We start from the raw sequence: 27534 nt of genomic DNA on the forward strand, positions 1-27534 counted from the left end.
ATAAAGTCAAAATTGGCCAGGCGTGGTGGCTCATGCCTGTAATCCCAGCACTTTGGGAGACCAAGGCAGGCGGATCACCTGAGGTCAGGAGTTCAAGACCAGCCTGACCAACATGGAGAAACCCCGTCTGTACTAAAAATAGAAAAATTAGCCGGGTGTGGTGGTGCATGCCTGTAATCCCAGCTACTCAGAAGGCTGAGGCAGGAGAATCACTTGAACCCAGGAGGTGGAGGTTGCAGTGAGCCGAGATCGTGCCATTGCATTCCAGCCTGGGTAACAAGAGTGAAACTCCATATCAAAAAATAAATAAATAAATAAGGTCAAAATTAAAAATTAAAAGAGTGTTTTGAGGATGACATCATTTTGTCTGTACATTCTATCAGATATCCATTGAAGTAGCCAAGGTAGCCAGCTGCATTAGGGCTGGGACCCTGCCAGGTCTCCCTAGAGAGGCCAGGAACAAGGATACTGAGGGTCTCCTGTGTAGTTACCTCATCAGCTCTGACTTGGGATCCAGAAGGACCCCGTGCCAAGCAGGAGTTAGAATGATCTTTGTACCCCAAGTCATCCTGCACTTTTCTTTGTCCCCCTAAGCTGGCGAGAAAACTATTTAGATTTCCATTTTAAAATGTGGTAAGTTTTGCTTCACACTGGTTTAAATTATTGCATATTAGACCAGTAAGAGAAGAGTTTCAGATATAAGTTGAGATCCTAAAACATTCCCAGAATCTGCCTCCGCAGTAAGCTGTCAAAGGTGCTATTTTGTTCAGAAAACTACTGGAGGTAATTTTCAGTTCTTAGATCTGGCTGAGGGCATATTATAAAAAGTTAAGAGTTGAAGGAGGAGACAGTTTTTGTCTTCTTTCCTCAAAATGGACAGTATTCTATTGAAAAGACACAGGAGCTCATGTGATTCCCAAAGCTCCAGTGAGTGTTAGTTTGGGGCCTTTCTTCTTCTGCCCTGGAGAACAGAAGGGAGGCCTGGAGCAGTGGGCCATAGGGAAGTTTCCTTTCTTACTCCAAGAAGTGCAGTCAGCTGCGCCTGCCAGGAAGCTGTTAGGATGGGAACTTTATCTTCGGGGAGTGCTTATACCTTTCTAGCTGTGGATACAACTGTACACAGGAGGAAAGAGTCAAGTGTAACTCCCTATGAAAGAAAAAAAATTTAAAGATAAGAACTAAGAGATGGATACTGAATTGTTCCTAGATACATATTTTAAACTCTTGCTTTCATAAAACCAGTCTCTAAAATGACATTTAATAAGGGAAGACAGCTGCCTTAGAGGGCCAGAGGCTTGGGCTTTGGTGCCATTTCTGCTGTTTACTGCTGTGTGCCTTTAGAAAGGCCACTTAACCCAGTAGAGTGACCAGCTCATCCTGATTTTTATGCTGAAAGTCCCATGTGCCTGGAAACCCCTCAGTCCCAGGCAAATCAAGGTGGGCCTTGCTGGGTCTCCCTTTACTCACTGATAAAATATGCAAGTTGGATTAGTTTTTTTTTTTTTTTTTTTTTGAGACAAAGTCTTGCTCTGTCACCCAGGCTGGAGTATAATGACGTGATCTCAGCTCACTGTAACCTCCGCCTCCCAGGCTCAAGTGATTCTCCTGCCTTGGCCTCCCAAGTAGCTGGGATTACAGGCACCTGCCACTACCACCCGGCTAATTTTTGTATTTTTAGTAGAGACAGGGTTTCACCATGTTGGCCAGGCTGGTCTCGAACTCCTGACCTCAAATGATCCACCAGCCTCGGCCTCCCAAACTGCTGGGATTACAAGTGTGAGCCACCACACCTAGCCAGATTAGATTGTTTCTTAAGTCCCTGTTAGCTGCAGAAAAAACTGATTACCTTAAATTGTTCTATTATTTTGTTTATTTACATATAATGGACTATTTTTACTAAAGGATTTGGGGCAGCTTATAGAGAATAAGCAGTATAAAATAGAAAATAGATTTTAAAAAGCAGGGCCAGTAAAAACATATAGAATAGAAGAACAAGGCCAAGGTTCAAGCTGAAGCAGAGAGATGCTGGACATTGATCCAATAACTATTACAATTGAGTGGCAAATCTGGCTCTGAGCTTCCTGGCAGTCAAAGCAAAAAAACAAAACAAAACAAAAAGCCTAATCTATAATATGATTCATTGTGCATGAGGAAAAGTATTAATTTCTCAGGGGAATAAAAGATTTTCCTGGGATTTGGTCTGAAAGAAATTTTACACATGCATCTTTATATAGAGGATATTGAATTGGTTCAGAAACACTGACTTAACAACGTCTTAACAGTAAATGCAATAATGACCTCACATGGCTGTTTATTGGGAGTCCTTCAATGTAAACAGAGGAGAGTACACCAGAGCAAACTCCGTGCAAATAATCCCAGAGTCTGCCAAAATAATATTGTACAAGATGATATTTTTGGCTTGAAAAAGAGAAAATCTACGTAACTTAGAACACTTGGTATGCTGCATGGCCATCAAATAATCCTCTACAGATTAGTATCTTTCAGCCAGACATTTCCTTGGGATTATAAAAGGGTTACAAAGCAGGGAAGAAAAGGGTAAAACTGTACCTCAGATAGAACCACACTAGGAGTTCATTGGCAATGGCCCTTGCTGGAGGTTGCCCCTGGATCTCTTTCCTCACACCCCGGCCCCTCCCACTCCAACCTCCATGTGGCAGGTCCTCTTTCTTCTCCCCGATGGAGTCCCTTCCTCTTTCCCACAGATCAAATAAAATGTCAGTGCATATGGTGTAGATATCTTCGTATCACTGTCCCAAACTGTTTATCATGAAACCTCCAATTTAGAATTTGATTTGGGTTTTGTCTTTAAATAACAAATGTCTGTTGAAGTGTTTCATCCTAATTAAGAGCTCAAACTTCCAAGAGGGAATTCAGATCTCCACCTGGAACTACAGATGGAATTTTAAGGCCTTGGGTGGTGCTCCAGAGTCCAGGTCAAAGCCTTTGAAAATGAAAACATTTTCCCCCAAGTGCTTATGGAACCCACCATTCCCTGGGTAATGTGGCTGGGGTTGTTGGAAGAGATCTTTCTTTATTTTCCACGGCAAATGCCAACATCTCTGAACTTTTCTTTGTTATATCCATAACACAGATGTAAAGACAGAGAGAAATTAAGAAATTAGATCCAGGTGAAGGTAAATGAACATCTGGCAGAAGCAGGGTCCTTTTTAAATTAATTTTTTTGGGGGGGGTTTATTTTGTTTTTATTATTATTATAAAGTCAACACATGCTTACAATAAAAACTCAAATAAAAAAGAGTAAAAAGTAATACTTCCTTTCCCTTCAGACCTACTTCCCAGAGGAGATAGGAAAGATGCACAGCTTGCATATTTTTCTAGATATGTTCTATTGAGCCATATTTCTGATCAAAGATGATCTGTCAAGGATCTGGAAGCTGACTTAACAAATAACTTGCTATTTTTTCAAAAAAAAGTACAAGATACTGATTGAGCATAAAAGTCATGGTTCTTAACTGAATCTCAAATCAGAGCGAGTACCTTATCATTTGGTCAGTGTTTTTCATAACTAAGACCCTTACTCACCTAACATAGGCTACCTACCATAGGTAGCCTAGTATGACAACAGGGAAAATGTTGCAGAAGAAACACATGTGTCTGGAGCAGTTAGCAAACACAAAGGTTCATTAGGGATCCTGTGAAACTCAGCAGCATATTTTACCATCATCTACAGAAATTTAGATATCCTAAGATATAACTTGAGACACCGTGGCATGAGATGGTAGATCTGTTAGATTAAGATCCTTTAAGATGGTGGGATTCTGCAGGTGGTCATATAGTTCTAAAACTGATTCACCGTTAAGGTTACTGAGTGTTGGAAACTAGAGCATAAGTGGTACCAAATTCAGGAAGAAGAAGTAACAATTTGTCTGACTTCCTTGACTCTTGCCTTATTTTTTATTTTTATGAGTCCTTTTAAGGGAATCAAAGTTTCCCTTTCTAATAAAATATAAGTAATCTCAAGTTAACAGTAATAATGAGAAAAGTAAATAATGCAGTTTAAAACTTTTAGCATATGTACACATGCAATAAAAAACACCAGAGACATGTCTCTGCCTTTCAATTTCTTTATCTGTAAAATGGAAAGAACTTTCCTCATTGTGCTTGCCTGAACTAACAGATTACTGTGAAAAACTTTTGAAACTGTCAACACCATTTGTATTAGTTATCTATTGCTGTGTAACAAAATTACCATATATGTGGTGACTCAAAACTAGACAATCATTTATTATCCTCTGCAGTTTTTGTGGGTCAAGAATTCAGACAGGCCCAGCAGGGATTTCTTGTCTCTGCTTCTCACTGTTAATGGTTTTGGCTGGAAAACTCAAAGCTTCAGAACTGGAAGCATGTGAAGGCTCTTCACTCACATGTCTGGCAACTGATGCTGACTGTTGACTGAAGGTCTAACTGGGACTGTGGATTAGAACACCCACATGTGGCTTCTCCATGTGGCCTGGGCTTCCCTAAAACATGGTAGCTGGGTTCCAAAGGCAAGTGTCCTGAAAGAGCCAAGTGGGAGCTATATCCTATGAGAGGTCACATAGCATTGCTTCCACCATATTCCATTGGTCAGGGTAGTCACACCAAGATTTGAAGAGAGGAGACAGACTCCCATCTCTTGGTGAAGAAGTGCCAGGCATCTTGCAAAAAGAGCGTATGGGATAGAAGAACCTTATAGATATTGCGATTTCTGGAAAATACAATCTGGTACACTATTCAATGGAGAAAGGGTTATTGTTAGTGGTAATATTAATGCTAGGAAGGTTTTTTAGACATGATTATTAACACTCCTCTTTTGTCAGATCTTGGACTATCTCTATGTGCAAAACAGTGAAATAGGTAAGGCTTGTTTTCAAAGATGTGCCCCTGCCCCTAGCCTTCTACTTCACTCTTATATTTATTCTTCCTCTCTCCCAGGGGTTCATCTTTCCATAACACTTCCCAGATTCCCAAGCTCCAGACATTTCTATTTTTCTACCTCCCATGCAAACTCAACCTTTGCTGTCCCCATCCACCAAGGCCTCAAGAGATCTCACTTTCAACCCCACTTGCTAAAGTAAAAATGGTTTATGAGCCATCTCAGAGACAGAACTAATTTCTACAGCATCAGGGCTTTGTGAAAGCAATGTCATATGCCAACACATATCTTGGGGGACCAGTAAAGCCAGTAAGGTTCTTGCACTGTAAAGGAATTTGCTCCTTGCTTCAGAAGAGCCAAAGCATGTCCTTGATAGACACCAGAATGTTACCTCTTGTTATCTGTGGAATTATGGGTGACTTTTACTTTATCCATTCATATTTTCAATCTTTTATAAGTTTTCCACAAAGAATGTGTATTGATTTTGTCATTTGGAAACAAAGCTATTTTTTAACAGCTTTATTGAGATATAATTCACAGACCATACAATTCGCACACTTAAAGTGTACAATTCAGTGGCTTTTAGTGTATTTACAGAGGCGTGCATCCATCACCACAATCAACTTTAGAAACATTTTTATTACCTCCCAAAGAAACCTCACACCCCTTAGCTGTCCCCCTTAACTCCTCATCCCCCATTTTCTGTCTCTATGGATTTGCCTGTTCTGTACCTTTCATGTAAAAGGAATCATATAATATGTGGTCTTTTGTGACTGGTTTCTTTCACATAGCATAAGGCTTTTCAAGGTTTTATGGATTATAGAATGTATCAGTATTTCTTTCTTTTTATTGCTGAATAGCATCTCATCATATGGGTATATCACATTTCATTTATCCATTCACCAGTTGAGAGATGTGCCAAATCTTTACCCCTGGAAGTGAGTCATAGGAGCCAGAATTTCTCTTCCCCAAAGTGAGTCATAGAACCTAGAACTCCTCTCCCCAAAGCAAGCCATAAAACCTAGGATGATCACTCTCCCTCTTCCCTTCTTCCTTGAAGACTCTCATCCCAGAAGGATCTTGCCCAATCCTCAAGGAAGGAATGCTACACAGAGAGGCCAAGAAGGATTTGAACAGACAGGTCTTGCTGGGTTCCCCCTCTCCATCTATTACTATTAGATCATACCCTTTTAATCTAATCATATTTCTGCATGGCCATCCATTCTTCATTAAACCTAAGCATAAACATACAAAATTTTCCCTGGTTTTTGGATCTTTATTTCTGAAGGCTCCTATGTCACGTAAAACTTTGATTAAATAAGCTATTATGCTGTTGTCTTGTTAACCCAACTCCTGCTATAGGCGTGTTGGTTGTGATTCTTATGATGGGTGAGGAAAGGTACCACACCTTTCCACCCCTACAGGGACATCTGAGTGGTTTCTGTTTTTTGCCTATTATACATACTACTACTGCTGTGGACATTCGTTTATAATTTTGTGACTGGACACACATTTTCATTTCTCTTATATATACACATGTGAATGGAATTGTTAGACTATGTGGTAGCTGTTTAACCATGTGAGGAACTATAGGGCTGTTCTTCAAAGTTGGTGTACCATTTTACATTCCTACCAGCAGTGCCTGAGTGTTCTAATTTTCTCTACATCCTCCCCAACACTAAATTATTACCTGTCTTTGCGTCTAGCCATCCTACTGGGGTGTATCACATTGTGGTTTTGATTTGTATTTCTCTAACTGCTAGTGATGTTGAGCATCTTTTCATGGGCTTGTTGGCCATTTGTGTATCTTCTTAGGAGAAATGTTGATTCAAATTCATTGCCAATCTTTCAACTGGATTGTCTTTTTATTACAGTAGTCCCCCCTTATCCACGGGGGATATGTTCCAAGACCTCCAGTGGATGCCTGAAACTGAAAAGAGTACCAAACCTTATATATACTTTGCTTTTTCCTATGCATACATACCTGTGTTAAAGTTTAATTTATAAATTAGGCACAGTAAGAGATTCACAATAACTAATAATAAATGGAACAATTATAAAAATATGCCAGCATCACTACGATTGCACTTTGGAGCCACTATTTAGTAAAACAAAGGTTACTTGAACACAAGCACTGCAATATTATGACAGTTGATCTGATAATTAGGAAGGTTCCTAAGTGACTAATGGGTGGGTAGAGGATACAGCGTGGATGTGCTGGACAAAGGGATGCTTCACTTACCCGGTGAGGTGAAGCGGGGTGGCATGAGATTTCATCACACTGCTCAGAATGGCCTGCAATTTAAAACTTATTAATTGCCTATTTCTGGAATTTTCTATTTAATATTTTCAGCCCATGGTTGACTGTGGGTAGCTAAAACTGCAGAAAGCAAAACCATGGACAAGGAGGAACTACTGTATAGAATTGTAATTGATCTTTATATATTCTAGATACAAATCCTTTACCAGATGTGTGATTTACCAAATTTTCTATAGATTGTCTTTTCACTTTCTTGATGGTGTCTTTTGGAGCATAAAAGTTGTAATTTTGATGAAGTCCAGCTCATTTGTTTTTTTCTTGTCCATGTGCTTCGATGTCATATATATGTAAAAAAATCATTGCTTAATCCAAGGTCACAAAGATTTACCCCTATATTTCTTCTCAGATTTTTATACTTTCAGCTCTTACACTTAAGTTTTTGATCAATTTTGAGTTAATTTTTGTATATGCTGTGAGGTAGGGGTTCAACTTCATTCTTTTGCATGTGGATATCCAATTTTCCAGCATTATTTGTTGAAGAGACTATTTTTTCCCCATGGAATTGTTTTGACACCTTTGTCAAGAAAATCAATTGACTAGAAATTCAGGGGATTATTTCTGGTCTCTCAATTTTTATTTACTGATCTATATGTCTATCCTGAGAGAATAACTCACTGTCTTGATTATTGTAGCTTTGTAGTGAGTTTTGAAGTTGGGATATGTGATACTCCAAGTTTTTCTTTACTTGCAAGGTTGTTTTGACAGAAGACATACAAATGGCCAACAGACATATGAAAAAATGCTCAATATCACTAATCATCAGAGAAATGCAGATCAAAACCACAATGGATATCACCTCACCCCAGTTGGAATGGTTGTTATCAAAAAAGACAAAAAATAACAAGAGCTACTGTAGAGAAAATGGAATTGTTAGACACCATTGGTGGAAATGTATTATGGAAAGCCATTATGGAAAATAGTATGGAAGTTACTCAAAATATTAAAAATAGAACTACTATATGATCCAGCAATCCCATTACTGGGTATATATCCAAAGAAAAGGAAGTCAGTATATCAAAGAGATAGCACTCCAATATTTACTACAGCACTATTCACAATATCCAAGATATGAAATAACTTGTGTCCATCTACTGATGAATGGATAAAGGAAATTTTATACACACACACACACAGAAATACTATTCAGCCATAAAACAGAATGAAATACTGTCACTGGCTAGGTGCAGTGGCTCATACCTACAATCCCAGCACTTTGGGAGGCCGAGGCAGGAAGATCACTTAAGCCTGGGAGCTGGAGACCAGCCTGGGCAACATAGTGAAACCTCATCTCTACTAAAATTAAAAATTAAAAAAAAATAGCCAAATGTTGTGGCATGCACCTGGAGTCTCCAGCTACTTGGAAAGCCGAGGTAGGAGGATCGCCTGAGCCCAGGAGTTTCAGGCTGCAGTGAGCCATGATTGGACCACTGCATTCCAGCCTGGGCAACAGAGTGAGACCCTGTCTCAAAAAATAAAAATAAAAGAAAGGGAGGGAGGGAGGGAGGGAGAAAGGAAAGAAGGAAGGAAGGGAGGGAGGGAAAGACATTCTGTCATTTGCAGCAACATGAGTGAACCTGGAAGACATTAGGTTAAGTGAAATAAGACTGGCACAGAAAGATAAAGATAAACACACTCTCATTCTTGTGTGGAATCTAAAATCATTGATCTCATAGAAATAGAGAGTAGAACAGCGGTTACTAGAGAGTGAGGAAGGGGAGAAGAGGGATGGGTAGATGTTAGCTAACATCTAGCCAGTTACAGTTAGACAGAAAGAATTAAGTTCTGGTGTTCTATTACACAGTAGAGTGATTGTAGCTAATAAGAATACATTGTATATTTCAAGATAGCTAGAAGAGAGGGCTTTAAATGCTATCACCACAAAGAAATAATAAGTGTTTAAAATGATGGATATATGCTAATTATCCCGATTTTACCATTATGCAATGTCCACATGCATTGAAACATCACACTGTACCCCATAAATATGTACAATTTTGTGTCAATTATAAATTTTAAAAGACAAAATAGAGACTGTTTTGTCTATTCTGTGTCTCTTGAATTTTTATATGAATTTCAGGATCAGCTTATCAATTTCTACAAAGATGTCAGCTGGGATTTTGAAAAGAATGACGTTGAATCTGCAGATCAATTTGGGGAATATTGCCTTCCTGATAATAGTACATCTTCTAATCCATGAACATGTGATGCTTTCTGTTTATTTAGGTCTTCCTTAATTCCTTTCAGCAATATTTTGTAGTTTTCAGAGTATGAGTTTTGTGCTTCTTTTATTAAATTTACTGCTGTTTTATTCTTTTTTTCTTTTTCTTTTTTTTTGATGGAGTCTTGCTCTGTTGCCAGGCTGGAGTGCAATGGCGCGATCTCAGCTCACTGCAACCTCTGCCTCCCAGGTTCAAGTGATTCTCCTGCCTCAGCCTTCCGAGTAGCTGGGACTATAGGTGGATGCCACCACACCTGGCTAAGTTTTGTATTTTTAGTAGAGACAGGGTTTCACCATGTTGGCCAGGCTGGTCTTGAACTCCTGACCTTGTGATCCACCCACCTTGGCCTCCCAAAGTGCTGGGATTACAGGCATGAGCCACCGTGCCCAGCCATTTTATTCTTTTAGGTACTATTATAAATGGAATTGTTTTCCTTTTAGTTTTTAGTTTTTGGGGATGGAGTCTCACTCTGTCACCCAGGCTGGAATGCAGTTTTCTTAATATAATTTTTGCTTGCTCAATGCTACTGCACAGAAATACAGTTGATTTTACTGAACACATTTATTATTTCCAGTAGTTTGTTAATGGGTTTCCTGGGATTTTCTATACATAAGATCATGTCATCTGCAAATGGAGATAGTTTTACTTCTTCATCTCCAATCTGCATATACTTTATTTCATTTTCTTGCCAAATTACCTTGGCTAGACCCTCCAGTACAATGTTGAATAGAAGAGGCAAGAATGGACATACTTGCTTTGTTCCTAATCTTTGGGAGAAAACATTGTCTTCCACCATTAAGTATGACACTCACTATGGGTTTTTCATAGTTATCTTTTATCAGGTTGAAGAAGTTCCCTCCTATTCCTAGTTTGTTGAATGTTTTTATCATTAAAGTGTATTGGATTTTGTCAAATACTTTTTCTGTATTTATTGAGCTGATCATGTGGTTTTTGTCCTTATTCTATTGATGTAGTATATTACCCTAATTGATTTTTGGATGTTAAACCAACTTTGCTTTATGAATCTGGGTGCTCCTGTATCGGGTGCATATATATTTAGGATAGTTAGCTCTCCTTATTGAAGTGATCCCTTTACCATTATGTAATGGCCTTCTTTGTCTCTTTTGATCTTTGTTGGCTTAAAGTCTGTTTTATCAGAGACTAGGATTCAACCCCTGCTTTTTTTTTGCTTTCAATTTGCTTGGTAGATCTTCCTCTATCCCTTCATTTTGAGCCTATATGTGTCTCTGCACGTGAGATGGGTCTCCTGAATACAGCACATTGATGGGTCTTGACTCTTTATCCAATTTGCCAGTCTGTGTCTTTTAATTGGGGCATTTAGCCCATTTACATTTAAGGTTAATATTGTTATGTGTGAATTTGATCCTGTCATTATGATGTTAGCTGGTTATTTTGCCCGTTAATTGATACAGCTTCTTCATAGCCTCGATGGTCTTTACAATTTGGCATGTTTTTGCAGTGGCTGGTACCAGTTGTTCTTTTCCATGTTTAGTGCTTCCTTCAGGAGCTCTTGTAAGGCAGGCCTGGTGGTGACAAAATCTGTCAGCATTTGCTTGTCTGTAAAGTATTTTATTTCCCCTTCACTTATGAAGCTTAGTTTGGCTGGATATGAAATTCTGGGTTGAAAATTCTTTTCTTTAAGAATGTTGAATATTGGCCCCCACTCTCTTCTGGCTTGTAGGGTTTCTTCCGAGGGATCCACTGCTAGTCTGATGGGCTTCCCTTTGTGGGTAGCCTGACCTTTCTCTCTGGCTGCTCTTAATATTTTTTCCTTCATTTCAACCTTGGTGAATCTGACAATTATGTGTCTTGGAGTTTCTCTTCTCGAGGAGTATCTTTATGGTGTTCTCTGTATTTCCTGAATTTGAATCTTGGCCTACCTTGCTAGGCTGGGAAAGTTCTCCTGGATAATATCCTGAAAAGTGTTTTCCAACTTGATTCCATTCTCCCTGCCACTTTCAGGCACACCAATCAAATGTAGATTTGGTCTTTTCACATAGTCCCATATTTCTTGGAGGCTTTGTTCATTTCTTTTTACTCTTTTTTCTCTAATCTTGTCTTCTCACTTTATTTCATTAATTTGGTTTTCAATCATTGATATCCTTTCTTCCACTTGATTGGATTGGCTATTGAAGCTTGTGCATGCCTCACGAAGTTCTCATGCCACGGTTTTCAGCTCCATCAGGTCATTTAAGGTCTTCTCTACACTGTTTATTCTAGTTAGCCATTCATCTAACCTTTTTTTCAAGGTTTTTAGCTTCCTTGTGATGGGTTAGAACATGTTCCTTCAGCTCGGAGAAGTTTGTTATTACCGACCTTCCGAAGCCTACTTCTGTCCACTCGTCAAAGGCATTCACCATCCAGCTTTGTTCCATTGCTGGCAAGGAGCTGCAATCTTTTGGAGGAGAAGAGGTGCTCTGGTTTTTAGAATTTTCAGCTTTTCTGCTCTGGTTTCTCCCCATCTTTGAGGTTTTATCTACCTTTGGTCTTTGATGTTGGTGACCTACGGATGGGGTTTTGGTGTGGTTGTCCTTTTCGTTGATGTTGCTGCTATTCTTTTCTGTTTCCTTCTAACAGTCAGGTCCCTCAGCTGCAGGTCTGTTGGAGTTTGCTGGAGGTCCACTCCAGACCCTGTTTGCCTGGGTATCACCAGCAGAGGCTGCAGAACAGCAAATATTGCTGCCTGATCCTTCCTCTGGAAGCTTTGACCCAGAGGGGCACCCACCTGTATGAGGTGTCAATCAGCCCTTACTGGGAGGTGTCTTGCAGTTAGGCTACACTGGGGGTCAGGGACCCACTTGAGGAGGCAGTCTGTCCAATCTCAGAACTCAAACGCTGTGCTGGGAGAACCACTGCTCTCTTCAGAGCTGTCAGACAGGGACGTTTAAGTCTGCAGAAGTTTCTGCTGCCTTTTGTTCAGCTATGCCCTGCCTACAGAGGTGGAGTTTATAGAGGCAGTAGGCCTTGCTGAGCTGCGGTGGGCTCCACCCAGTTCGAGCTTCCCAGCTGTTTTGTTTACCTACTCAAGCCTCAGCAATGGTGGACGCCCCTCCCCCCACCAGGCTGCAGCCTCGGAGGTTGATCTCAGACTGCTGCCCTAGCAGTGAGCAAGGCTCCGTGGGCATGGGACCCACTGAGCCAGGCACGGGAGAGAATCTCCTGGTCTGCCAGTTGCTAAGACCTGGGAAAAGCACAGTATTTGGGCAGAAGTGTCCTGTTTTTCCAGGTACAGTCTGTCACGGCTTCCCTTGGCTAGGAAAGGGAAATCCCCCAACCCCTTGTGCTTCCCAGGTGAGGCGATGCCCGCCCTGCTTCAGCTCACCCTCCGTGGGCTGCACCCACTGTTCAACCAGTCCCAATGAGATGAACCAGGTACCTCAGTTGGAAATGCAGAAATCACTGTCTTCTGTGTCAATCATGCTGGGAGCTGCAGACCAGAGCTATTCTTATTCAGCCATCTTGCACCATCCGATGTTAAACCAACTTTGCGTCCCTAGGACAATCCCACTTGAGCGTAGTATATAATTATTTTTCTATATTACCTATCCTAATATTTTGTCAAAGACTTTTGTACCTATATTCCAAGTGATGCTGATATGTAGTTTTTCTTTTCTTGCCATGTCTTTGTCTGATTTTGCTATCAGAGTAATACTGGCCTCATGAGTGAGCGGGGAAGTCTTCCCTTCTCTTCTATTTTTTGGAAAAATGTGTGAAGAATTGGCATCAGTTCTTTTTTAAATGTTTGGTAGAATTCATCAATGAAGCCATCTGGTCCTGGGCTTTTCTTTATAGGAAGCTTCTTGATTACTAATTTAATTTCTACTTATTTTAGGTTTACTCACGTTTTCTATTTCTTCTTAAGTAAGTTTGGTTGCATCTGCCTTTCCAGGAATTTGTCCATTTGATCTGTTATCTAGTTTGTTGGCATACAATTTTTTTATAGTATTCCCTTATAATTTTTATTTCTGGAACGTCAGCACTAATGTCCCTCTTTCATTTTTGAGATTTATCTCTTTTTTTCCTGTCTGGCTAAAAGTTTGTCAATTTTGTTGATCTTTTCAAAGAACTAACCTTCAGTTTCATTGATTTTCTCTATTGTTTTTCTGTTTGCTATTTTACTAACTTCTGCACTAATCCTTGGTGCTGCCTTTTTTTCTGCTTGTTAACAAAGCTTTTTTGACATATTAAAAAGAAGAAAAAATTACTTATCCAATATACTTTTGATGGTTATTTGGGTTATTTCCTGATTGAGGCTAGAGGCTATTATGTATAAAGTTGTATGAACATTCTTGCACATATATTTATACGAACATATATTTTTATTTATCTTAAGTACCTTGGAGTGCAACAGGAATAGGGTAGATGTATGTTTCAGTTTACGGAAAACTGTCAAACAATTTTCCAAAGTAGTTGTGCCATGTTATATTCCAACTAGCACTCTGAAAATCACCACATCCTCCCAACATTTGGTATTGTCAGTCTTTTTCCTTTTAGCATTGTGGTGGGAGTATAATGGTATCTGGTATTTTAGTTTGCATTTCCCTGATAACTAACGAGACTGATCGTCTTTTCACTTCTCTCAAAGTAACTAATGAATTTTGTCCCCTTTTCTGTTGACTTGTCTCCTTTTGTCTTACTGATTTGAGTTCTTAATATATTTTTTATATATGTCTTTTGTTGAATAAATTACAGGACCTTCATACAATGGATTACTCTAAAGTAATCAAAGTCAATTAACTATTGCTATATACAGTTACGTGTGTAAACTCACAGACATAATATTGAGAAAAAGAAGCTTTCAAAAAAGAGTACATACTGTGTAACTCTATTTGCATAAAGCTCAAAACTAGGCAAAACCAATGTACTATATTAAAAGTCAAGTGAGTGGTCCCTATAGGATATTGGGTAATGACTAGGAAGGGGGCATGTGGGGATCCCTGGGTATCCTGGTAACATTCTATTTCTTCAACTGTACACAGGTTACACAGGTGAGTTCACTTGTGAAAATCTATTGATATGCCACATTGCAGTTTGTGCACTTTTCTGAATGTTACATCTGAGCAAACTATTTTAAAAAAAGGAAAATTGAATGAGTTCTTGAAAAAAATCTGTTAATTATCACATGATATTTGTTAGCAGATTCTCTGTATATGATGTATTTCTAACTTACTGTATTAAGGTGGGGGTTTTTGTATTAAATGCTTTCCTTGTTCATACTTTATATTGTAAGCCTAAAAATTTCATTCATAGGTCAATAACAGCTTAACTTTTCCTTTGCTCTGGACTGCAGACATCTTGGCAAATAACACAATCTGAGTTCCCAAGGGCTATACCGATTTTAAAATCTGCTCCTTCCCCATCAATCCCATAATGCTGAATACAGTGCTCATACAATGAAATGCCACAGCTAACACTGCTCTAGCTGTCCCCTTAGGAATTCATTGTAAAAGGGTTTCACTGTACTTTGTAAAGCAATTTGGAATCCTTCATGATGAAATGTTCTATATAAAGAAGGTAATATAATGGACTTGGCTTTCAACTTATTTCATTTAAGCCTTAACAGAAACATGAATCTACTATATTAGCATCATAAACCAATAGGTGCTATATAAATGCTGAATAGAAATATTCTGGGTGAATTAAATTGCGAATATAGCCATGTATTAGCTAAGTGCTTTACCAAGTATTATGCAAATACTGATTAATAAGGCAATTATACTCAAAATAATAATAATAATGTTACATTCTTCTATATTCTCCCAATTCTCTGAGCACCCATTGACTTAGTTATTTTGTTTGTGTCTGCCACCTAAATCTCAAGCCTAAATGCAAACTCACATAAGATGTCCCTTTGGAAGGAAACAGTCTTCCTCATGGGTTGGTACCAAACAAAAACTTCAGCAAGTATATGTCAAGGGGGCGGGTAAAAGAAGTCCCTCTAACACATGTGATTGACATGCTTTTAAAAAGTCCATAATATTCGAAAAAATACTCCCAGGTCCTGTGTAATACTGCCCAGAGTTACTTTTATACTCCTTAGCATTTCTTTGGAGACCAGATTCTCCAATGCTTCCAACATTATAATCATGTCATTGAACAGTTGCTATGCTTCACCCCAAAGACAGTGATGACCAGAAATGCCTGATGCAACCCCTACATGAAGTTTAAAAAGTTACTGGAGGCTGGGCGCGGTGGCTTATGCCTGTAATCCCAGCACTTTGGGAGGCCGAGGTGGGCAGATCATGAGGTCAGGAGATCAATACCATCCTGGCTAACACGGTGAAACCCTGTCTCTACTAAAAATACAAAAAATTAGCCAGGCATGGTGGCGGGCGCCTGTAGTCCCAGCTACTCAGGAGGCTGAGGCAGGAGAATGGCGTGAACCCGGAAGGCAGAGCTTGCAGTGAGCCGAGATCGCACCACTGCACTCTAGCCAGGGTGACAGAGCGAGACTCCGTCTCAAAAAAAAAAAAAAAAAAAAAAAGTTACTGGAATGCTTTTGATGAAAGGTGTGTTAACATGAATCATTATCGTCATCATCATTGCTCTTTTAAAAATTTCATCTTTCAGGACTGATAGATGATTCCTACTTTTATAGGAGCTGCATTTTAAAAATGTTTTGGGTTTTTATTTTTGTATTTGTGAGTCTAGATTTACAGAGAAATGTATTTATGGAAAAATGTGTTAAATCTCCAGCTATTAGTTTTGCAGGTATGTCAGATGAAGTACTCAACTTGATGGGTGAAAAATGGAATTTCTATTTCAGCCTCTCATTTACTGTGCCTTACTGTGATGGGACAGGGCACAGCAGGGTCTGGTTAGAAATCAATTTTCTTGAAGTTCTAGCCCTCCGTACAAAATAATATAAATCACCAATCCTGTTGCAGAAAGTTTCAAATTTCACTTTGAATGGTCACAAATTTGAAAATGAAGAGAAGAGGGACTGCTAGACTGGAGAGGCTGCTAAAGAGAGGATGGTGACCAGCTGTTGACAGTGTCACTGAAGATGGGGCCTGGCTTAACTGAATCAGGAAGGGTGAGGGTTTATATCCCTGAAAGGAGTTGCAATGAAACATGCAAGTCCCTCATCTCAAGGAAAGCACGGAATGAACCTTATTCTTGTCTCTATTCCTTTGAGTTGTAACATCACAGATATTCTGTGCACAAAGATTCTTATTTTAAGAGTAGTCTAGCTGGGTGTAGTGGCTCACGCCTGTAATCCCAGCACTTTGGGAAGCCGAGGTGGGTGGATCACCTGAGGTCAGGAGTTCAAGACCAGCCTGGCCAATGTGGTGAAACCCCATCTCTACTAAAAATACAAAAATTAGCCAGGCGTTGTGGCACATGCCTGTAATGCCAGCTACTCAGGAGGCTGAGGCAGGAGAATCACTTGAACCCAGGAGGCGGAGGTTGCAGTGAGCCGAGATCACGCCATTGCACTCCAGCCTGGGTGACAGAGTGAGACTCTGTGTCAAAAAAAAAAAAAAAAGTAGTCCAGAGGGTTTCAAAGCTCTTGTAGCTGTGGCATACTTTGTTCAAGGAACCTTTAACATGAAACCTCAAAGAGAAAACAAAAGCCCCAGGATCCTCTCAGGCCTCCTCTCCTTCTCCAGCCCTCCACAGGGGCCCTCCCAGCCTGTTGTCACTGCTCTATTCTTGTGGAATGAAGATCCACAAGGTGAGGCCATTGTTAGACTCCCAAAACCTTCAGTGAGCTTCATGAAGCAGATGGGATCTGAACCAGGACTCTGTCGTGGGGGATGAGGGGGGACAACTTCGGTCACATCAAGAAGAAAGGAATGAAACACAGGGAATGAGGTTGCTACAAAGTCACTGGAGGGGCCGGAGGAATGAGTCATGGGGTCGCTAGGCTAGATGATTGGCTTCAAGGTCACACCACAGCAGCTATGATGACGAAGTCAGGAAACTACCAGACACTGAACTGCCTCCACTCTGGCTGCTGCCACAGTCACCCTATACCCAAGAAATTGTTAGAGACCAGCTGCTGCCAATAGTGCTTGCTCGTCAGGCAGCACTGCTGCAGGAAGATGGCCTCTGCTTCTCTCTTTCTAATCTTTATGCAAGGGCATATCTCACTGCAGAATCTAAATCACGTCCAGAACCATAGTCTAGGAGTCTGAGAGTCTAGCTGTCAGCCTTCCAGCTCCATGAGAGGAGACAGAACTAGGCGGATCTCAGTGGATCTGGCACAGAACAACTGGGGAAGAGGCAATGCTTGTGAAGAGCCTGAGCGAAAGTGGTGTCAAAGTAAACTGGAGGTAAATTCTGGAAGTGGAGAGCTTTAGTCCTGCTGTGAATCAACAAAAAACACCAGCAGCCTTCAATGGATAAGTGGAAGGCAAAGAATCTCCTTCCATAGAAAAGTTAAATAATGAGGCCAGGTACGGTGGCTCACACCTGTAATCCTAGCACTTTGGGAGGCCAAAATGGGAAGATCACTTGAGGCCATGAGTTCGAGACTAGCCTGGGAAACATAGCAAAACCTTGTTTCTACACTGAGAAAAATATTACCAGGCATAGTGGCAGGCACCTGTAATCTCAGCTACTTGAGAGGTTGAGGCAGGAAGATTCCTTGAGCCAGGAGTTTGAGGCTGCAGTGAGCTATGATCACGCCACTGCACTCCAGCCTGGGCGATGGAGCAAGACCGTGTCTCAAAAAAAAAAAAAAAAAAAAAAAAGGAAAGAAAAGAAAAATTAAAGAATAGCTCAAGCCATCATTTTTAGGATCATTTAAGATGAAGTCTTTGATTTCTTTCCTATTTTTGTAACATAAGAAACTTATGTTCATTGTAAAAATACTAGAAAATGCATTCACTCAAAAAGAAAAATAAAAACCACCCATAATCCCACCATCCAGGGATAATCACAGTATTGGTGACTCTCTTTCCTTCCAGATATTCCAGGGTTATTTTACTATGATATCATTGTTTTAAACTTTTTAAAAATTATGAACAATGTCATCCAGTGGCATTATCAATATTAACAGCCACATTGTTGACAGCATTCTGTTATAGAGCTGTCTCATACTTTAATAAAATATTTGAAGTCCCCATTTTGTTGGAAATGCTAATATGTTAGATTAACAGTGATGGAATGGATAGAAAAGGCAATATTGCAGAGGAGGTTTGAATTGGGAGGTGCTTAAAGCTAAAGTATTAATGACATGGGAGGATGCAGGAAAACTCACAATCCGTTGAAGCTAGAAGGAACTTAGAGGTCATCCTCGTCCACTTTCCTCATTGAAGGGATGAGGGTAACTGCAGCCACATCACACTCTCTTTATCCCAACCTCTCCAGTCCTCATTCTTCGTATTTCTTTATTCTGTCCTCAGCCATGTGTGTGATTCTTATTAAAACTCCAATCTAAACAGCAACTCACAGAAAATATGACTTAAAGAATAAGAACAACAAAAAATCCAAGTTGTCATAATTCCATTCCATTCATTCCTTTCACCTAGCATTTATTGAGAGACCATTCTGTGGCTGATACAGTGTTATGAAGGAGGGGTTTAAAAATCCAACACAGAGCCTAGCACGGTGGCTCACGCCTGTAATCCCAGCACGTTGGGAGGCTGAGGCAGGCGGATCACAAGGTCAGGAGATCAAGATCATCCTGGCTAACATGGTGAAACTCCGTCTCTACTAAAAAAAAAATACAAAAAATTAACTGGGCATGGTCCGGGCACCTGTGGTCCCAGCTACTCGGGAGGCTGAGGCAGGAGAATGGCGTGAATCCGGAGGTGGAGCTTGCAGTGAGCCGAGATTGCACCACTGCACTCCAGCCTGGGCGACAGAGCAAGACTCCGTTTCAAAAAAAAAAAAAAAAGAAAAAATCCAACACAGATCCAACCCTCCACACACTCACTATCTTACAAAGGAGATGAGAAGAAGTCTTTCAGTCACATTGAGGCACATGCTTTTCCTATATGTGGGAATGGCCCTGGGACCCAGACAATTTCTTCCACAATTTTTTCCTTCTTGGGTTTTGGTTGTAAAAAAGCAGGAAAGTGAGAAAGGAGGGTGTATGTGGTTTTATGTCTTCCAGTACAAGAACATTTAAGACATGATCTCTAATATTTTTCTTGTCTAGACATCCCCATCTTTTTATTTTTTTATTTTTATTTTTTATTTTTTTTAAATATTACGTAAGGTTTTCTTTTATTTAAAAGATCATTCACAAAATACCATATCCATAGATTTACTTTCTGTCATATAGCTGAATGTGTTAAGTGTTTGGAATTCCATTCTTACATTTAAAAGTCAACTGGATTGCCCAGCAGTTTAGATGCATGTGTTTTGTTCTTTATCTTATCCACATTGAAGATGTAAGTAGGTCATCTGAAAGCCTCGGGTTTGATTACACCACATAATGCATGTCTTTCTGAAGTTAAGTGTTGGTGTTACACAAATGGTTCTTATCTCAGAAGCAGAGAAGCTGACAGGTGGAAGGAAGGAGAGAGAGTTCTGTGGATTGCTGAGGCCTTGTAACAAGACACAGTAGGAAAAGCCCAGGATGACGGCTGGTGACCAAATACTAAGCACATTCCGCTGGGTGCCCCAGGCCACCCTGGCCCTGCCATCACCTGGCGAGGGCCTCTTTCCCAGGCTCCTGCTGCCGGCCGCCCCCAAACTGCTCCCCATAGGACAGACTGGGACTTGGGTACTGAAGGATTTTTCATCTGTTCACACGCAGGCGTTCAAGCTCAAAAGCCTAACCCCTAGCACTCCCACGTAAGTGCTGAACCCTGCACATGGGAACAATCCAGTGTGTCCCCAAGATGTGGCCGCAGACCTAGGCAGCTGCAGTCCTCTACTGCTATCTGAAGGTTCCTGACAGCTCTGCACAGTACAATTTATCAAAGGAAATGAGTAAAGTGCCAGATTCTAGACCCATTTTGGCTCTGAACTGAAGGGGAGGTGGGAAGCACAGTATCTCATTATGTTGCCTATACTAGGAACAGATCCACACAACACACAGGCAACAGGGATGGGGGGAAACGCTGTGTCAGCGCCGCAGTCAGCCCAGTGCAGCGCCAGCACCACCCCCTCCACCCCCAAAGCGCCTTGGCCCAGCAGAAAAGAAACCCGCTGGCCGTTCACTGCACCCGGCCAGAGAGGCGAGCCTCCACCACGCACGGCGAAAGGAGTGAACTAGCTGGGACACACACACGTGTGAATGCATGCAAGCATTCACTGCATCTTCTCCGTGGACTCCCTACCGCTCTTCCATGGCCCCCCCTTTCAGCCTCACTGTTTCTCGTGTGAGCCTATCTGCTTGGACAGTCCACTCGGGAGGGGGTCATGGAGCCAGGACTCCCTCTAAATAGGAATGGAAAGGACCCTGCAGATATTTTTATCCTAGTTGTGAAAACAAGGTGCCTCCGATTCTCTATATCCATCACAGCTGAATACCAACAAGGTCTCTGCAGTTCCCTCTGTCAGTGACTCTGGTTTTTGTTGGAAGCCCCAGCAATACAGAACTCAACATGCAGGTCAGAAGAGAAGCACTGAGGGAATGAAAGGAAACTCCTGGAGTTGGGCCAGTGTCTAAAGTAAAGAGAAAGCAAAGGAAAAATGACGCAGCACCGCAGCCCAAACGCCCCCCCACGGCGGCCACCTCTGCTCCTCCGAGGAACCCCGTGTGCTGCTGGGAAAACAAGGAGCAGGAGAAAAAGGACAGAAGGAAAATGGGGAAGCAGCGGAAGAAAGAAAAAAACGCACAAACAGGCACTAGATAGATACAGCAAAGCCCAGAATGTACTAAAAACCACTTGTTAACAGCTGACATGCACTCACAAGCTGTGTTTCCGCTGTGAGGAGGCCAATGGCAGGCGCAGGAGTGGCGGCTGCAGGACGGCTGCCCGGGGACTCACCAGGCTGTGGTCCTGCTCTAACCCCCCACGCCCCATTCCCTCCCAACCGCAGGCTCATTTTTGCTCCTTTTGAACAACTTCCTCTCTAGGCCTGGCACCCCCGAAGATAGCAGAGTTGGGATTGGCTACTTGATTGAGGGGCGTCGCGACTGTTCGAGGTTTAAGCTGGAGTCGTGGTCTCTGTGCGCTTTCCTCTTCTGTGGGTTCTCTGAAATCCATGTTGGATCCACCGAGGGGAGGGCCATCTCCGAAGCGGCTGCCCATGGGGGGGCCTGTTCGCCGGTCGCCTGGGCGACTACCTCCCCTGCCCCCTAAGAAGTCATCCCTGAAGCCTCTGTCATCTGGTCCACCTTTTCTGAATCCAAAGCCACCTTTATCTTGTTTTCTGCCTTCTGCAATGTCCACACGAAGTGACCGATCGCCCAACAGTGCACCATCGTATGTCAAGGCTTCCTTAAGGGAATCCACTTCATCGAATTCTACATAGCAGAATCCTTTAAATTTATCTGTGTCTTTGTCTCTGACTAGCCGTACACTCCTTATGCTGAGATCCTTAAAGATAGCATCTATGTCGCCCCGAACCGTATTGAAAGGTAGATTTCCTACGTATGCTGTGTAGGGGGGCTCTGTGGGCAACTCCTTCTGGCTACGGGAACCATGGCCACCAGCACTGCCGCGGGACCCTCTGCCGCTGCCGAAGCTGCTGTAGGCCTGATCGTCGTAGGTGTCGAAGTCCGCCATTTGCCGTCTCCGCTCCGAGAGGAACCCCTTTTTATTTTTTAATAAAGCAAAAGGCAGTTGTCCCTTGTGGTTTGTAGCAAGAGTTCATTATCAGAGGAATGCTTGGCTTTTAAATGGTGTTAACACTGAAATCCTCTTCTCTTCTCTTTTCCTAGTTAGGATTTCCTCATCTTGATCCTCTCTCCTCACATATTGATCACACATTGCATGCTTCAAAGTGTTCACTGAATCATTCTACTTTTTCCAAGAGAATAGCTAACTCTTGACATGCTGCAGGTTTCCAATTACACTTCCTTTGCCTTAAAAAATGTCTTGAAAGAGTAAATCTGTCCATAAAGAAACCACTCGGACCAAAAAGCCTTTGTACACATTCTCCCAAATGGAGCTGGACTGTAAGCAGGGAAGATGTAGCAATAGCATCCACACACTGTCTGGGGTTCCTGGACCCATTTATCAACTGGTCCCATTTGAATGGAAACAAAGCCTCCACCCGTCACTCCCTCTCACTTGACTTGCACTTTCTGAGGTCTCAGCCACATGCATCTGAAGCTGTCTGGGGATTATCCATTCTACAAATGGTTTCAGATCTGGTCATTTTACTCTGTTGTTCTTGTATTCCTTCTGTTTGACAATCTGTAGCTTTTAATTTGGGGGACAGAGTAATAGCTCTTAAGCAGATGGTTGTCATTGGTCCCCAGGGGTGTACTTGGGGAGGAAGATTGGATGGGACTCTCACCAAGGTTCTAGGATTCTGTGACTCACTCGGCTTGATTCCAGGCCAGAAGTGAGGTTGCTGATTGCTTCTAACCTGTTCTTCGGCAAGTAGTAAATGTCAATTGATCTTTCTTCATGTGGTGGGGATGATATCCATATAAGAGAACATGAAAAACTGTACATGTTAAAATGCATTCACAGCAGCCAAACCCATGCGTGCTTAGAATTAAGTTGTTGCATCCAGTCCATTTGTCATTCTTTTTATGTCCAAGTTTTAGTAACAGAATGTTTTCAAATAGTTTACATTTCTCTTGGGACATCTTCCCTAACCAAATGTCATACTAGTGTTAGGCTGGCGTTATTTGGATTGCTCAATTCTTATTGTTTCCAACAACATTTAGGCCATTTCTGCAAGCAGAATTCTGCATTGAAGATAATGGGCTTTTTCATGCATGTCCATAAGGAGAAAAATTATTAGATCAGTGGGAATTTTAGAGTACATTATTGAATTCTTGGACATTAAAAACTTCAGTTACTTGGAACACACACATGACAGAAACAAACTGCAACTGACACTCAAAAGCACATCTGATGAAAATATTAAGGTTGATGTTTTTCTTAATATTATCTTATGTAATATCTAGTGTTCTCTAAGGAAATTATATTTATTAGGCCTTTCTTTTTTCTTCTAAACTCTTTTACTGTACTCCAAAATATCTTTATTTTCTGGTTATGAAGTAGTAGATCTTCACTGTAGAAAATTTGAAAACATATGGAAAAGTATAAAGACAATTTTTAAAGTACCTATGATTCTTCAATCTTGGGGTCTTATTTATTTATTTAGAGACACAATCTTGCTCTGTTGCCCAGGCTGGAGTGCAGTGGCGCGCTCTCAGCTCACTGCAACCTCTGCCTCCCAGGTTCAAGCAATTCTCCAGGCTCAGCCTCCCAGGTAGCTGGGATTACAGATGCATGCCACCACGCCCAGCTAATTTTTGTGTTTTTAGTAGAGACTGGGTTTCACCATGTTGGCCAGGCTGGTCTTGAACTCCTGACCTCGTGATCCGCCCACCTCGGCCTCCCAAAGTGCTGGGATTACAGGCATGAGCCACCGCGCCTAGCCAGGGTCTTTATTTTTAAAAAGATAGTCAACAGTGAACATTATTTGAAATCTTATTAAATGTTAAATACTTTTTTCTGAATTAAAGATTTCCTGATTTAAACCCTGATTCATTCTTCTGCTAAGGATCTTGCTCTAGTGTCAAAGCTCCCTGATGCCACACTTCAAATGAAGCTTAGTTCTAGAATGACTCCTTTTTTAGATAAGTGGACAATAAGTTATGGGCAAAGGTTTAGCCTGGTTCATCTCACTGGGGTCTTGGTGAAACCACTATTTCCTTTTTAATGTAATATTCTGTGAATAAAATCAAGATTAGAACAATGCTTGCAATTAAAGGGATTACTCAGTACTAATAAGATAATTAGAAAATGAAGTATCAGCCCCAGCTGCAAGGAAGTATGGGGATGTGAGTATTTTGAGTAGGACACATTGCTGCTCTAGGTAAAATGATGTTTCTGAAATGGAAGGTGAAAAGAGAGTAATAACTAGTAGGCTGCTAGCTGTGCCTGCCACAGAGATACTCACAGAGCCACTCAGAACAATTCTGGGACACTAACCTAAGACTTCTAGCCACACATCCCATGAGTTTTGAGCTACAGAGAAGTTATTATGCCCACCTTTCCAGATAAGCCTGAAACCAAGTCAATAAGACAGTTCTGTTTTAGAATTGTTCAACACAGGTAGTGAAAGATAAAGTAATAGCTTCACAGAGCACATGGAATTTTACTGAACCAAATCACGTGGATGTATTTCTGGCTGAATTTACCTTCTATCTTCAGTAGGCTTTTAAAAGCCAAGTCTCTGGAAGCAAATTCTTTCCAGATACAACTATCCTAAGATAGTTGCATCCATGTCAAGAAATGTTTGTTCTGTGACGGGTGCGATGGCTCACACCTGTAATCCCAGCACTTTGGCAAAAGGATCGCTTGAGCCCAGGAGTTCAAAACTAGCCCAGGCAACGTAGCAAGACCTCATCTGTACAAAAAAAAATTTAAAAACTAGGCAGCTTGAGTGGCCAAGGCAAGATGGGTCAAAGTCAAGAGTGGTGGTCATGGTCTTGGAGCTGGAAAGAAGGATGATAGGACAAGAAAAAGAAATATGAACCTCCTATACCAGCTAGAGTGAGGAAGAAGAAGAAAACAAAGGGACCAGATGCTGCCAGCAAACTGCCACTGATGACACCTCACACTCTGTGCCAGTTAAAATTATTGAAAGTTAGAGATAATTAAATACTGTCTTCTCATGAAGGAAGAATTCATTAGAAATCAGGAACAAATGAAACTATTAGAAGGAAAGCAAGAGGAGGAAAGATCAAAAGTGGATGATCTGAGGGGACCCTGATGTCAGTAGTAACCTTGGAAGAGATTATTGATGACAATCATGCCATCATGTCTACATCTGTGGGCTCAGAGCATTCTTGTAGACAAGGATCTGCTGGAACCTGGCTGCTCGGTCCTGCTCAACCACAAGGTTCGTGCTGTGATATGGGTGCTGATGGATGACACGGATACCCTAGTCACAATGATGAAGGTGGAAAAGACCCCCCAGGAGACCTGTGTTGATACTGGGGGGTTGGACAGCCAAATTCAGGAAATTAAGGAAATCATTCTGAATATTATGAAGAGATGGGTATAAAGCCCCCTAAGGGAGTCATTCACTATGGTCCACCTGGCACAGGTAAAACCTTGTTAGCCAAAGCAGTAGCAAACCACATCTTAGCCACTTTCTTGCAAGTGATCAGCTCTGAATTTATTCAGAAATACCTACATGATGGGCCCAAACTCATATGGGAATTGTTTCTAGTTGCTGAAGAACATGCACCTTCCATCATGTTTATTGATGAAATTGATGCTATTAGGACAAAAAGATGTGACTCAAATTCTGATAGTGAGAGAGAAATTCAGCAAATAATGCTGGAAATGTTGAACCAGTTGGATGGATTTGATTCAAGGGGAGATGTGAAAGTTATCATATCCACAAGCCGAATAGAAACTTTGGATCTAGCACTTATCAGACCAGGCTACACTGACAGGAAGCTCAAGTTCCCCCTGCCTGATGAAAAGACTAAGAAGCACATCTTTCAGATGCACACAAGCAGCATGACACTGGCCAATGATGTAACCCTGGAACGACTTGACACTTGACATCAAGGCAATCTGCACAGAAGCTAGTCTGATGGCCTTAAAAGAACATGGAATGAAAGTAACAAATGAAAACTTCAAAAAATCTCAAGAAAATGTTCTTTATAAAGAACAGGAAGACACCCCCAAGGGGCTCTGTCTCTAGTGAACCACAGTTGCCATCAGGAAAATGGCTGGGAGATTTCCCAAGCCCTCAAAGGGATGAGGTTGGGGGAGTTGCCCAGAGGAATTCGTGTTCCAGTTTATTTTTATTAGCAACACTTCCTGTGAGTCTTTTGGAGTATGATGTGTAAGACGTCCATTGGGCCGCCTTCGCCTGTCGGTCACTGTGCAACACTCTGCTTCCCAATAAAGTGTGCTTTTTCTTTCTCTCTCTCTACACACACACACGAACTAAAAACCAGAAATGTTTGTTCTAGAACCAGTAGTTTTTCATATAATCAATTGCTAAGCTGAAAAATATGCCCTGCCTAACAAACATCAGGTAGGAAAAAATAAACCTATTTATTTAATTCAACAGATTTTTGTTTTGATGTGACTTAGTACCGTAGGTTTGTGTATAGCAATGACTTTAATCTTCTAAGACATCATTGATGTAATGCACTTCAAATATGTGTTGATGCCAAAATTATCTATAAATCTAAATTTCTATGAGTTTTTCTTAGGCTTTTATCTTCCCATTCCAATTAGAAAGTAAAGGCATTCTCTGGCTAATATTCACAACCTTAACCCAACTCTAGGTTGAAGAACTTGTTAATTCTTCATAACTTTCCCATTCTTCACCTTCTGTCTCCATTTATCACAGCCATCCACTCACACTAGCCTATGGATTGGGTGAAGTTTAGAAGCATAAAGGAGATATTATTTGGAACAAGGTGTTGTTTTATTGCAGTCCTACCCTTTCCTGCTCTTTTCTTCAAGTGAGTGACTAATTCCTCGGAATTTCTAAGATTTGGGTTTAAAACTACACTGTCTCTAGGCTGTACCTATTATTGAATGAGATAACTACCCTTGCAGAGGTGCATAGATATGTTTTGATGGTAAAGCACATTCATTTGCAACCACTGCTGCACAGAATGAAGGAAATGCAACTGCTATCCTCCTGGGAGAAGCCACTTAGGCAAGAAAATAAAGAAGAGGATTTTGATTATATTTGGAACTCTTAAGCTTGTGCTCAGGGAGGCTCCGTCTTTAAACTCTTGTCGTTTCATGTTTACACAAAAATTATAATGGAAAAAGTAGGCTCATAGTTCTCTGTGCAAGCATGGCACGTTTTAAAAATGTATCCATGTTTTATTGGGATAATACCAGCCACAATTTGCACATGTTATTGCATCTTATTGTATGAGACAACAAATGAAAAGGGCTCAGCATGGTCTCTGGCACGGTGTGGACCAGGAGAAGTGTCCTTTTTCTTCCATTCTCCCTCTTTTGCATGTATCTTATTGTCCCTACTTCTTGTTAAAG

The 27534-nt window shown here is 41.1% G+C and overlaps 2 pseudogenes, besides 2 other annotated features; one reads left to right on the forward strand and one right to left on the reverse strand.

Moving 5' to 3' along the window:
• Positions 15748-15971: a silencer, noted in NCBI's record as "fragment chr7:27492124-27492347 (GRCh37/hg19 assembly coordinates)". NCBI's record gives its function as "represses an EF-1alpha promoter that drives an FKBP-Casp9 reporter gene in an ReSE screen in K562 erythroleukemia cells {active_cell/tissue: K562}" and the evidence as "EXISTENCE:reporter gene assay evidence [ECO:0000049][PMID:32094911]".
• Positions 17113-17407: an enhancer, noted in NCBI's record as "tiled region #2106; K562 Activating non-DNase unmatched - State 10:DNaseD, and HepG2 Activating DNase matched - State 3:PromF". NCBI's record gives its function as "activates a minimal TATA promoter and a strong SV40 promoter by Sharpr-MPRA in K562 cells, with weaker activation in HepG2 cells {active_cell/tissue: HepG2 | K562}" and the evidence as "EXISTENCE:reporter gene assay evidence [ECO:0000049][PMID:27701403]".
• Positions 19618-22118, reverse strand: EIF4HP1 (eukaryotic translation initiation factor 4H pseudogene 1; annotated as a pseudogene).
• PSMC1P2 (proteasome 26S subunit, ATPase 1 pseudogene 2) lies at positions 24954-26432 on the forward strand (annotated as a pseudogene).

The sequence above is a fragment of the Homo sapiens genome, chromosome 7 (assembly GCF_000001405.40).
Source record: "Homo sapiens chromosome 7, GRCh38.p14 Primary Assembly".
Taxonomy (NCBI): Eukaryota; Metazoa; Chordata; class Mammalia; order Primates; family Hominidae; genus Homo; species Homo sapiens.